The 13,551-nt window shown below is 44.5% G+C and overlaps 1 pseudogene; it reads left to right on the top strand.

Moving 5' to 3' along the window:
• GYG1P1 (glycogenin 1 pseudogene 1) lies at positions 2,637-13,144 on the top strand (annotated as a pseudogene).

Here is a 13,551-nt window from a genome sequence, read left to right as displayed (position 1 = left end):
AGCAGTTAAGTAGGAAGGAAATGTAAAGAAAGTTATAGGGAGGAAAAAGTATTTTGGGCAGGAAGGTTAAAAAGAAAAGAGGATAATTTTGTATGAGAAAGAATCTTATGTGGTCAGTTTTTGTCCTAAAGTAAAATGACTAGTTATTTAGAAAAGAGGAAGTATTGGAAAAAGCAGAAATTCTAAGCATGTCATTTAAGGTCTGTGCAGGTTGTAAAAGATCACAAATAATGGATTTATGAAAGAAATTCTGTGTGTAACCAAGTTGACTACAATAAGAAGGCAATTATTTGTCTTTTAAAGATTGAACTTTAATATTAAAAATACACTGGGCCAGGCGTGGTGGCTCACACCTGTAATCCCAGCACTTTGGGAAGGTGAGGTAGGTAGATCACCTGAGGTCGGGAGTTTGAGACCAGCCTGACCAACACGGAGAAACCCCATCACTACTAAGAATACAAAATTAGCCAGGCACAGTGGCACATGCCTGTAATCCCAGCTACTCGGGAGGCTGAGGCAGCAGAATCGCTTGAACCTGGGAGGCGGAGGTTGCGGTGAGCAGAGATCACCCCATGGCACTCCAGCCTGGGCAACAAAAGCGAAACTCCATCACACACACACACAAACACACACACGCACACACGAAAACACTGATACAACTAAAAATTTGGTCTCCTATGTTAGAACAATAATCTTTTCTCGAAATACTGATCTGCTGTTAGTAAAATTTGCAAGAGGCTTTGATTTTTAATTCTCTGCACATTTTTTGTTTTACATTTACATTTAATTTTCTTAATTCAAGGTTTAAACTGCTGTCTTTTTTATTTAAAATGGTAATTTCCACTTTGAGAGGCTGAGGCAGGTGGATCACTTGAGGTCAGGAGTTCGAGACCAGCCTGGCCAACATGGTGAAACCCCATCTCTACTAAAACTACAAAAAATTAGCCAAGCATGGTGGTGGGTGCCTGTAGCTACTCAAGAGGCTGAAGCAGGAGAATCGCTTGAACCTGGGAGGCAGATATTGCAGTGAGCTGAGATTGCACCACTGCACTCCAGCCTGGGTGACAGAGCGAGACTCTGTCTCAAAATAATAATAATAATAATAATGAAATAGTAATTTCATTTCTTGGGGTAGAGTTTTCCTCTTGGAGTTCCTCAAATTCATACCTCAGAAGTTCAAAGTTTGTGGTATCCTGCTACACAATTTGCAGGTCATGCATCATTGCCATCAGCTCTTCTTTCTCCCCTTCAGAAGCTATATATTTTTGCTCAACTTGGGTAATAACTCTCTTTTAACTCTTTAGTTAGCTCCTGTAACTTTTTTCTCCAGTTCTAACTCTGCTGTTATAACCTGACACTGAAATGTTCTGATGTTCTGTCTTAAAGTCTTAGAAAAGCAATATTTTTCTTCACTGTAAGTTGGTTTGTGTACTCTTGGCTTTTTTCTTTCTTTCTTTCTTTTTTTTTTTTTTGAGACAGAGTTTCCCTCTTGTCACCTAGACTGGAGTGCAGTGGCGCGATCTCGGCTCATGCAACCTCTGCCTTCCAGTTTCAAGTGATTCTCCTGCCTCAACCTCCCGAGTACCTGGGATTACAGGTGCCCGCCACCACACCTGGCTAATTTTTGTATTTTTAGTAGAGACGGGGTTTCACCATGTTGGCCAGGCTGGTCTCGAACTCCTGACCTCATGATCCACCCACCTTAGCCTGCCAAAGTGTTGGGATTACAGGCGTGAGCCACTGCGCCTGGCCCTCTTGGCTTTTTTCCATGTATCTGAATTGTTTCATGTAACCAAGAAATTTCTCATGGTTTTACTAAGAGCCACGTATTCCTCTGCTCAAGATACTAGTTCTTATTTATATTTTTCTTTCTTTCTTTCTTTTTTTTTTTTTTTTTGAGACGGAGTCTCACCCTGTCACCCAGGCTGAAGTGCAATGGCGAGATCTCGACTCACTGCAACCTCTGCCTCCCAGGTTCAAACAGTTCTCCTGCCTCAGCCTCCTGAGTAGCTGGAATTACAGGTGCCCGCCACCACGCCCAGCTAATTTTTGTATTTTCAGTAAAGATGGGGTTGACCCCATGTTGGTCAGGCTGGTCTCGAACTCCTGACCTCAGGTGATCCACCTTCCTCAGCCTCCCAAAATGCTGGGATTACAGGTGCGAGCCACCACACCCGGCCACATTTTTGTATAATATGCTGTATACATATAACCTTGGACACATATGTTTCCCGTGTTTGATTGAATTCAAGTACCTTCTCATCAGGTATGACTTTCAGGTTGTTGCAAGCTCGGATAAATGAGCTTCCAGTAAGGAGAAGCCTTAAAAAAGAAAGATTTTACATTTTGTCAAGATAATTTCCTGTTATATTTATTAGATTTTTTTGAGCTTTGAAAGGGTTAAGGATTTTACATCCACGTTATTTTCTGTATTGCTTTTTAAGTCTTTGATATCACTCTGGTTAAATGAATGAGTATTATTTCACAATGGCCTGTGGTCATGTTTTCATCAAGTGTTTTGAAGCTTTTGAATCCTTGGCAGACTTCTCTAAGATCAAAATTCTATAGTTTCTTTTTGATCTAGAGTTAACTTTGGCACCTTCCAGTTGAACCCCTGCAGAGTTTTAAAGGATAGTCCCGCTGTGCCTCCTCGCTGCCCTTGCTCCCTCCGTGCTGCCCTTGCTCCCTCCCAACCTGCGGCTGCCCCGGCTGCCTGCACCCCCAGCAGCACCATGACAGATCAGGCCTTTGTGACACTGACCACGAATGATGCCTACACCAAAGGTGTCCTGGCCCTGGGGTCATCTCTGAAACAGCACAGGACCACCAAGAGACTGGTCATACTCACCACCCCTCAGGTCTGAGACTCCATGAGAAAAGTTTTAGAGACAGTCTTTGATGAAGTCATCATGGTAGATGTCTCAGACGGCACAATTCTGCTCATCTAACCTTAATGAAGAGGCCAGAGTTGGGTATCACGCTGACAAAGCTCCACTGCTGGTTGCTTACACAGTATTCAAAATGTGTATTTATGGATGCGGATACTCTGGTCCTAGCAAATATTGATGATCTTTTTGAGAGAGAAGAATTGTCAGCAGGACCAGACCCAAGGTGGCCTGACTGCTTCAATTCCGAAGTCTTCGTTTATCAGCCTTCAGTTTAAATATATAATCAGCTGTTGCATCTTGCTTCTGAGCAAGGTAGTTTTGATGGTGGGGACCAAGGCTTACTGAACACATTTTTTTCTTTTCTTTTCTTTTCTTTTATTTTGAGACTGAGTCTCGCTCTGTCTCCCAGGCTGCAGTGCAATGGCGCAATCTCAGCTCACTGCAACCTCCACCTCCCAGGTTCAAGCGATTCTCCTGCCTCAGCCTCCCAAGTAGCTAGTATTAAAGTATTAAAGGCACCCGCCATCATTCCTGGCTAATTTTTGTATTTTCTTTTTTTTTTTTGAGACAGAGTCTCAATCTGTTGCCCAGGCTGGAGTGCAGTGGTGCGATCTTTGCTCACTGCAACCTCCGCCCCCTGGGTTCAAGCAATTCTCCTGCCTCAGCCTCCCAAGTAGCTGGGATTACAGGCACCTGCCACCGCTCTCGGCTAATTTTTGTATTTTTAGTAGAGACGGGGTTTCACCATCTTGGCCAGGCTGGTCTTGAACTCCTGACCTCATGATCCACCCGCCTTGGCCTCTCAAAGCACTGGTGTGTCCGGAGTTGGTTCCTGCCGGTGGGTTCGTGGTCTTGCTGACTTTAAGAATGAAGCCACAGACTTTCGCAGTGAGTGTTACAGCTCTTAAAGATGGCACGGACCCAATGAGTGAGCAGTAGCAAGGTTTATTTTGAAGAGCAAAAGAATAAAGCTTCCACAGCGTGGAAGGGGACCCGAGTGGGTTGCCACCACTGGCTAGGGTGGCCAGCTTTTATTCCCTTATTGTCCCCTCCCATGTTCCATTTCTGTCCTATCAGAGTCCCCTTTTTTTTCAATCCTCCCTGCGATTGGCTACTTTTAGAATCCTGCTGATTGGTGCATTTTACAGAGTGCTGATTGGTGCGTTTTACAGAGCACTGATTGGTGCATTTTATAATCCTCTTGTAAGACAGGAAAATTCCCCAAGTCCCCACTTGACCCAGGAAGTCCAGCTGCCCTCACCTGTCAATCCCCCCTCTAAACAGAATACCTCAACTGCTGTTGGGAATTAGGCAATGACCGCTCTAGCTACTTCCTGCTAGATAGGGGCAAAGAAGGGACCCTGCAGTTGTAGTGTCCTCCAGAGGGGAACTCTCTAGGCCAGTCAAAGGGCCAGTGGGTTGATCCAGGGGTCCTCGGTAGAAGTTGTGAGTTGAGCTCATTTGGGGTTCCATTTGTAAGACCATCTGTAGCTTGATGGCCTCAATCCTGGAGGAAACAAATTTGACAAGGAGGTTAAAAATACAGGGCCCAAAGGCGAGTAATAGCAAGAAGGCTGTCACGGGACCTAGAAAGGGGAGAAGCCATGTTGCCCAACTCCAGAGGTTGGTATAAGAGTTTGAAAGGCATTGTCTGATTTCAGAAGCCTTTTCCTGTAAATGCCAGGCAGCGTCTTGCACTATCCCTGACTGGTTAGTGTAAAAACAACACTCTTCCCCTAAGAAGGTGCAAAGTCCTCCTTTCTCAGCAGCGAGGAGGTATAGGCCTTGGTGGTTTTGGAGAGTCACTGCTGCCAAAGAGTCTATTTGGGATTGTAGAGTAAGGATAGATTTTGTTATTTCTTGCAAACTGTCTGAGAAATCCTTTGAGCGTGTGTGGTAGTAGGATAGTGAAGTAGATAAACTGGCTATTCTGGTTCCTGTAGCAGTGGCCATTCCTAACCCTATAAGTAGGGGTATTAGTTATATGGCCCTGTACTGATGGGCTTGAGCCTTGAGGGGCACTGATAGGGTCTGATTTCCTGGGGCAATGTCAATGTTGGGACTTAGGAAGACTAAGGTGCAGGTGCCTGTCCAGTTGGTGGGGAGGCAGATATAGGTTGAAGTTCCACATAAGAGGAATATGCCTTGGCTGGTTGTGTATGTTTAAAAAGTGTGTGAGTTTGTTGTTTTCATTTTCCCATACTCCTAGAGTACTTGCCAAGGTAGCTCTGGTGAGCAGCTAGAAAGGGGTATTGGGAGCAAACTGAGTGACTTTCTGTGTTCTATTTTCCCATTGGAGAAAAAAACATTTTATATCTACTAGGAATCATTCAAGAGAGTGATTGAAAGAGGGGATAAGAAGACATTCACTAGTGGTGGGGGCGCTGCTGCAGGGGCTCCAGGGGTGAATGGTCATGCAGGGAGTATGTTTGCCATTACAAAACCTAGACTGTTTGTTAAGCAGGGAGGTGGTGATGATTTTGGGGCAAACTGAGAAGTGGACAAGCCATCTGAATGGAGCTGTTTGGGTGACTCAGAAGTTACTATGATCAGTTGGGGCTTAAAGTTGTAGGGTGTAGTTACACTGAAGGGATAGTAGGTGCCCCATTTTGTGAGGAGAATTTTGGTTTCTCAACAAGGCCATGGGCAAGACAGTAGGCCATGGGAGACGAGTTTCTTGTGTTAGTTTCCTTAAGTGCCTCTTAAGTGTTTCATTTGCCTTGTCAACCTTCCCTGAGGATTGTGGCCTCCAGACACAGTGAAGGTGATATTGTATCCCTAGGGCCCTGGAAATTCCCTGAGTTATCATGGCTTTAAAGGCTGTACCATTGTCACTTTGTAAGCTTTGGGGAAGCCCAAATCCAGGAATTATTTCATGAATTAGGACTTTAACCATTTCCCGAGCCTTTGTCTGTCTTGCAGAGGAAGGCTTGTATCCAATTTGTAAAGGTATCAACACAGACCAACAAGTATTGAAATCCCCTTGACTTAGACATATGGGTGAAGTCTAACTGCCAGTCCTCTGCAGGATAGCGCCCTATTCTTTGTTTCCCCAGAGGGGCCTTACGATGGACCAAGGGATTATTCCTTTGTCACACCTCACAGGCTTTGACTACTTGCTGGATGGTCTGGAGGAGATTTGGCCCTATAATTAGGGATTTGGCCCTTTGATGAGTATTCTCAATACCCATATGAAAAGTTTGGTGGAGGGACTTAAGTATTTTCCACTGGCTGGCTTCAGGTATGAATACCTTTCCCTCTTCTGTCATTAACCACCCAGAGGGGAGAAAACTATGGCCCCATGAAATTCCCCATTCTGTTTTGGTCGGGGAATACTGCAGCTTAATCTCTTGGAGAGGGTTGTTCCATACCAAGGGTCCTTCCGTAGGTATTTCTAATGGGAGGTTCCGCTTGGCAGCAATTTTGGCCTCAGCGTCTGCCCAACAGTTTCCTTCTGCCTTTTCTTCTTCACCTTTTTGATGGCTTTGGCACTGTAAGACAGCCACCTCCTTGGGTTTTTGCACTGCGTGCAATAACTCCATGATATCCTTGTGGTATTTAATGGGGATTCCCCCAGAGGTTACGAACTCCCTTTCTTTCCATATTGCAGCATGGGCATGTAGGATTAGATAAGCATACTTGCTATCTGTATACACATTTATTCTTTTTTTCTTTCCCAGTTCTAAGGCTCGGGTAAGCACCACTAGTTCTGCTAACTGGACATAGGTCCCTGGGGGAAGAGGCTTACTTTCAAGTACTGTTACATCACTAACTATGGCATAACCCGCCCTTTGTATCCTATTCTCCACAAATGAACTTCCATCAGTATATAGGTTAAGGTCAGGATTAGCTAAGGGGACTTCTAAGAGATCCTCTCAGACGGCATAAGTCTGGGCTACAATTTGTTGGCAGTCATGCTCGATTGATTCCCCATCCTCTGGGAGAAAAGTGGCAGGGTTGAGGGTCACACAAGTGCATATTTGAAGCACTGGTCCCTCAAGGAGTAGTGCCTGGTATCTAAGCAGGCGGTTAAACTTCTTTTGGCACCTAGTATGCCATTTACATCATGAGTAGTCCAGTTGGTGAGATCCTTTCCTTGTATTATTTTGATAGCCTCTGATACTAAGATGGCCTCCGCCGCAACTACCCATAAACAGTAAGGCCAGCCTTTTGCTACTACATCAATTTCCTTACTTAGGCATGCCACTGGTTGTGGGGTTGTCCCACTAGTCTGAGTAAGGACTCCAAGAGCTATCCCTGCTCTCTCTGTGATGTATAAAGAGAAGTTTTTTCCTGTGGGAAAGCTTAAGGCTGGAGTTTGTACTGGGGCCTGATTTAAGGTTTTGAAGGCTGTTTCTGCCTCTGGTTCCCATTCTCCTAGATGAGTATTTGCCCTCTGGGTCTCCTTGATTAGAGTATAGAGTGGCCTGGCCATCTCATTGTATCCAGGGATCCATAGTTGGCAAAAGCCGGTGCTTCCAAGGAACCCCCGCAACTGTTTTAATGTCTTAGGGCAAGGATAAGCCAGTATAGGCTGAATTCATTATTTGCTGAGGGCCCTGGTTCCTCTGGCTAAGATTAGGCCTAGATATTTGACTTGTAGGCAGATCTGGGCCTTTGATTTAGACACCTTGTACCCTTGATTAGCTAGAAAGTTCAAGAGATCTAGAGTAGCCTGCTGGCATGAGGCTTCCGAACTGGTAGCCAAATGTAAATCATCCACACACTGAAGGACCAGAGTGCCTGGACTTGAGAAGTAGCCTAGATCTTGGGCCAGTGCCTGACCAAACAGATGAGAGCTTTCCCTAAACCCTTGAAGAAAGACCGTCCACATAAGTTGGGATGTGTGGTCTGTGGGATCCTCAAATGCAAAGAGAAACTGGGAGTCAGAGTGCAGGGGAATGCAGAAGAAGGTATCCTTGAGGTCCAGAACAGTGAACCATTCTCCTTCCTCTGGTGTTTGAGAGAGTAGGGTATAGGGGTTGGGTACAGCTGGACATAGAGGAATTACTGCCTCATAAATGAGTCTAAGATCTTGCACTAGTCTCCACTGACCATTCAGTTTTTGTGCTCCTAAAATTGGGGTTGCAGGAACTGCTGCATTCCTTACTAACCCTTGAGCTTTTAAATGTCAACAATATCCTGTAATCCTTTATGAGCTTCAGGCCGGAAGGGTATTGCCTTTGATAAGGAAAAGTGGTGAGGTCTTTTAGCCTGATTTGAACTGGGGTGGGGGGCATTTTTTGCCTTTCCAAATTGTCCTTCCAATGCCCAGACTTCAGGGTTGATTCCCTCCTCCAGTAGGGGACAACTAATGGGTAACTTGTCCCCCATATTCATGTAGCTAATAGCTCCAGCTTTGGCCTAATAAGGGTGTGGGACTTTCAGGCATAAAAAGAAAGGCATGTGAAAAGAGCAAAGTCTTCCAATTACAACCAAGGAGGTGGGAGAAATACCTGGTTACAGACTGTCCCAGGATTCCTCAGATGGTAACGGACTGTGAGGACAGCTGTCCGGGTCAGGAGATTAACACTGAGAAGGCTGTGACAGTGTCCGAGAGGAAGTCAATTTCCTGGCCCTCAATGGTTAAACTTACCCAGGGCTCAGTGAGGGTGATGACATGAGCTGGCACTTGCCCCAGTTACCTTCAGTCCTGTTGTTGGATCATCTGGTTGGGGGCTTCGGGCCCAGAGAACACTTGTCCTCTGGGGCAGTGTGCCTTCTAGTGATTGCCTTAACATACTGGACATGGGTGAGGGGGTGGCTTGTTTCTCATTGGAGAATCTTTTTTAAAGTGTCCCTTCAAACCACACTGATAACAAGCCCTACTGGGTGATTGGCCTGCTCCATTTTCTGTCCTGTCTGAACCACCAATGTTTGTTTGTCAGAGGGCCATGACTAAGGCTGCAGCCTTTCTCTTATCTTGCTTTTCCTTTTCGGCCTGTTCCTTTTGGTCCTTGTTATAGAACACTGAGGTTGCCAGGTTTAATAATTCCTCCAAATTTTGTTCAGGGCCCAGGGCTAGCTTTTGTAGCTTTCTCCTGATATCTGTGGTTGATTGGGTAATAAACTTATTTTTTAGGATCAATTGACCCTTGAGGGAGTCGGGTGACAGGGAAGTATATTTTCTTAAGGCCTCCCATAGCCACTCGAGAAAGGCAGTAGGATTTTCTTCCTTTCTCTGAGTTATGGCGGACATCATTGAATAATTCATGGGCTTTTTCCTAATTCTTCTTAGTCCTTCTAGAACACAGGTCAACAGATGTTTGCAAATCCAGTCCCCATGATCTGAGTCAAGGTCCCAGTGGGGATTCATACTGGGGACGGCTTGCTGATCGGTAGGGAATTTGTCCCTTTCTTCAGCTGTCATTCTATCATTTACTCGACTAAGATACCAGGTATCTTCAAACTGTCAGGCTGCAGCTAAAGCCGCATTCTTTTCATTAAAGGCCAGGGTTTGATCTGACAGTAGCATGTTATCTCTCCAAGTAAGGTCAAAGGTTTGCCCTAGACCCTGTAGGACATCTATATACCTATCAGGATCATCTGAAAACTTCCCCAGATCTACCTTGATCTGCTTTAAATCAGAGAGGGAGAAGGGGACGTGTACCCGGGTTGGGCAAAATTCCCCTCCCCCTACAGCTTGAAGGGCACATAACCAATAGCCCAGGGGTTTTTGTGGTCCCTTGGAGATTTCTTTGCTTGTTTCCTTCTGGGTGGGAGAGATTAGAGGAGGCTGATCATTAATAGGAAGGGGACCTGTAAGGAAGCTAGGATGTAGGGGTAAGCTGAGAGGTCCTCCTGTGGAATGTAGATTGCAAGCTTTGTGTAGTTGTGGATTATCCTTCAATGAAAAGAAAGTTTGGACATAAGGTATTTCACTCCATTTGCTTTCCCTCTTACAGAAAAGGTCAAGCTGCAGGATAGTATTGTAATTTATACTTCCCTCAGGTGGCCATTTTTCCCCATCAGAGAGAAAATATTGGGGCCAGGCTGTAGTGCAGACAAAAATAAGCCACTTCTTTTTCAGGGTTTATGGGCCAAATTGGTGCCAATGGCTTAGGATGCATTTCAAGGGTGAGCTTGTTGATGCCTGAGTGTTTCCCATCTAAAACAGAAAGAAAAAACCACCCGTGGTTTTTGTCTGTTTTTCCCCCCACCCAAGAACCCACAACAGTCCCTGGACCCTGCCGTTTGGAATAGTTGCGCTCACTGAAGCAGCAGTGGAAACCCTTGTTTTCCTCCTACAAAGAGGAAGGTCAGATTTAGTGGCCCTTACCGACACATTCTTGAAAACCTGTACACTTGCCTTTCCTCTTAGACCACAAGAGGACTGAGAAAGGTCAGATTTAGTGGCCCTTACTGATGCATTCTTGAAAACCTGTTAGAGTCCTAAGTGTTTTTTCCTGTTGTTATTGGGACCTTACCCTTGTCCTATAAAGATGACATGCCTCAAAATGGAGTGGAGGGCCATAACTTGAGGGAGGGAAGGGATCTCCAGGGTTGGAAGGGTGACGCCTTTTGTTCTCACTTCTCATCATATGAATAGGAAGCATATCCCCCCAATTTAGGAGTCTATAATTTCTGAGGCTCCCCATATGCTAGCTTTGGGAATAGCCTTTGTTAGTTCTGCTAGTCTGAGGAGGGATCCTAAAAGGATAGACGGTATTCCAGATAGTCCCCCCTGACGGGGCTCTGGTCAAAAATTATGTGCCCCAGGGTGCTTATTTCCCATTGAACAATTTGGGTTCTTTCTGATTGGTGAGCCTGGGTGCCTAAAGAAGGGAACAGAGTCCCAAAATCTATATTAGAAATCATCCTTATAGAAGAAACTAGGGAGTGATTTTCAGAAGCAGGACTAGCCTCAGAGAAGAGAGGCAACAGGAAGTTTGTCTGACAGGCGTTAGGACCCAGGAGGCAATGGTCATGATAGATAGGATAGATAGGCGAGTCTCACTTGGGTGACGTAACTTTGAGAGCTCTGCTCAGGGCTGCAGGGACAACCAACTTCTTCTTGGGACCCCAGAGCTGAATGGCTTTCCTCTCTGTTGACCCTCAGCTCAGCCTAGAAGTGCAGGAAAAGTGGAAGCTGGTTCCAGGCAAACCAACGCTCCTGATTCCGAAGAGTCGGGGGTTGTTGAAGAGCCCTTTCCCAGATAGCCTGAAACCCATGTCTTTAGTCTGGCAGCGCACTAGTCACTTTTAACTGGCCAACAGGTGCCCGGTGTTTAGCTCCTGAATTCTAAGGAAAAATAGGACAGAATAGCAAGTGAAAGGGGTCCGATGGTACCCAGACCATTGCATTGCAACATCGCAGACGAGCCCCCAAGATGTGTCCAGAGTTGTTTCCTGCCAGTGGGTTCGTGGTCTCACTGACTTCAAGAATGAAGCCGTGGACCTTCGCACTGTGTGTTACAGCTCTTAAAGATGGCACGGACCCAAAGAGTGAGTGGTAGCAAGATTTATTGTGAAGAGCAAAAGAACAAAGCTTCCACAGCATGGAAGGGGACCCAAGTGTGTTGCCACTGCTGGCTGGGGTGTCCAGTCCTTATTCCGTTATCGTCCCCTCCCATGTTCCATTTCTGTCCTATCAGAGTGCCCTTTTTCCAATCCTCCCCATGATTGGCTACTTTTAGAATCCTGCTGATTGGTGCATTTTACAGAGTGCTGACTGGTGCGTTTTACAGAGTGCTGATTAGTGCATTTTACAGAGTGCTCATTGGTGCGTTTTATAGAGCACTGATTGGTGCATTTTACAATCCTCTTGTAAGATAAGAAAGTTCCCCAAGTCCCCACTTGACCCAGGAAGTCCAGCTGGCCTTACCTCTCACTGGGATTACAGGTGTGAGACACCGTGCCTGGCCAAATTTTGTATTTGTGTAGAGACTGGGTTTCATCATGTTGGCCAGGCTGGTCTTGAACTTCTGACCTCAGGTGATCCACCCGCCTTGCCCTCCCAAAGTGCTGGGATGACAGGCATGAGCCACTGCACCCAGCCTGAACACATTTTTTAGCAGCTGGGCAACAACAGATATCAGAAAACACTTGCCATTTATTTATAACCTAAGCAGCATCTCTATATACTCCCATCTCCCAGCATTTAAAGTGTTTGGTGTAAGTGCCAAAGTTGTGCATTTCCTGGGACAAGTCAAACCATGGAATTATATATATGATCCCAAAACAAAAAGTGTCAAAAGTGATTCCCATGATCCCAACATAACTTATCCAGAGTTTCTCATCCTATGGTGGAACATGTTTACCAGCAACGTTTTACCTCTGCTTCAACAATTTGGCCTTGTCAAAGACACCTGCTCATATGTAAATGTGGAAGATGTCTCTGGAGCCATATCACATCTGTCCCTTGGCGAGATCCCAGCTATGGCACAGCCTTTTGTATCCTCAGAAGAATGGAAGGAGCAGTGGGAACAGGGCCAGGCTGATTATATGGGAGCAGATTCCTTTGACAACATAAAAAGGAAACTTGACACCTACCTCCAGTAGAAACACTGCATTTTCCTGTGGATGCATCCACTTCACAAGCCTTGTTTCAAATACTAAGTATCTAGAGCTGGGCTGAGAAAGTCTGTTACAGTTGGCAGAGGTTTTCACTAAAATTTATCAGATGAGAGGTTTTTGTAGGACAACAGGTGAGAACTGGGCAAAAGTTGTGAAGCAGCAATTCTGTTATATGGACAGTGTTCTGCTTTTTAATCCTATTTAGCTCATTTCAGAAATTCTCACTTTTGTTGATTGCCAACATACAAGGTAAGGGAAACTTAATATTAAGCTGTTAAGATGACTATAACAACTCTTAAAATCTGCAGAGCCTGGTTCCCAATCAGTCATGCCCTTTGGAAGCAGACATGGCATCTGTCCCTTGCTTGCTTGCTGGTTGTACCTACTTTTCATTAGACCTGCATTTTAGAATTGTCCAGTGCTGCCAGAGTCAGTAATTGTAGTTTTGCTTTCAGGTAAAGATAGCCTATATTAACACTATTGAGTGATTCATAAACGTATCAACAAATAGCATTCACTCATTTTATTTCCTGCTCTTAGTGTCTGAAGATGTTCACCAGTTTTCTATGTACAGTAAGATACCATAGACACCATGCTAAAATGCTTTTGTTCAGTTCTGTTTATTTGAAAATAGCAGTGTGTTCTCTGATGGTTACCTGTGGTGGCACCCTGTATGAAAAATGAAGAAAAATAAAATAAAGGATGTATCTCTCATTTTGTAGAGATGTTAAATAATTAAGCTTGTTTGATGTATTAAATTTATAGAAAGTCATTATTACTGTCAAATAATAAGTCATACTAGATTTTTTTCAGTTACATTTATGGGTATATTATTGATATAAATTTTCTAGAGTAATATAGAATTCTTAAAAGTCTAGTATATCATCAGTCATAATTTTGGTTATTAGGTTGTATGTCTCAAAAATGAGTACATTTACTTGTCAATTGCTGATTATAATGAATGTTCATCAGATTTTAAACATGGCTAGTCTGTCTCTATCATCCATGGTTTTGATTTTTCTCTAGTGGCATCTAATCAGATTCATGGAAAAGATTCTAACAAGTATTCCTAAGACAAGTTTCTAACAACTTTAAGATCAATAGACTAAATAAAAGTTTTCCAAAACTCTGATAAATTCACAAAACT

Source organism: Homo sapiens, chromosome 8, assembly GCF_000001405.40.
Source record: "Homo sapiens chromosome 8, GRCh38.p14 Primary Assembly".
Lineage (NCBI taxonomy): Eukaryota > Metazoa > Chordata > Mammalia > Primates > Hominidae > Homo > Homo sapiens.
The sequence above is the reverse complement of the archived record's forward strand: the minus strand, read 5'-3'. Positions and strand labels throughout refer to the sequence as shown.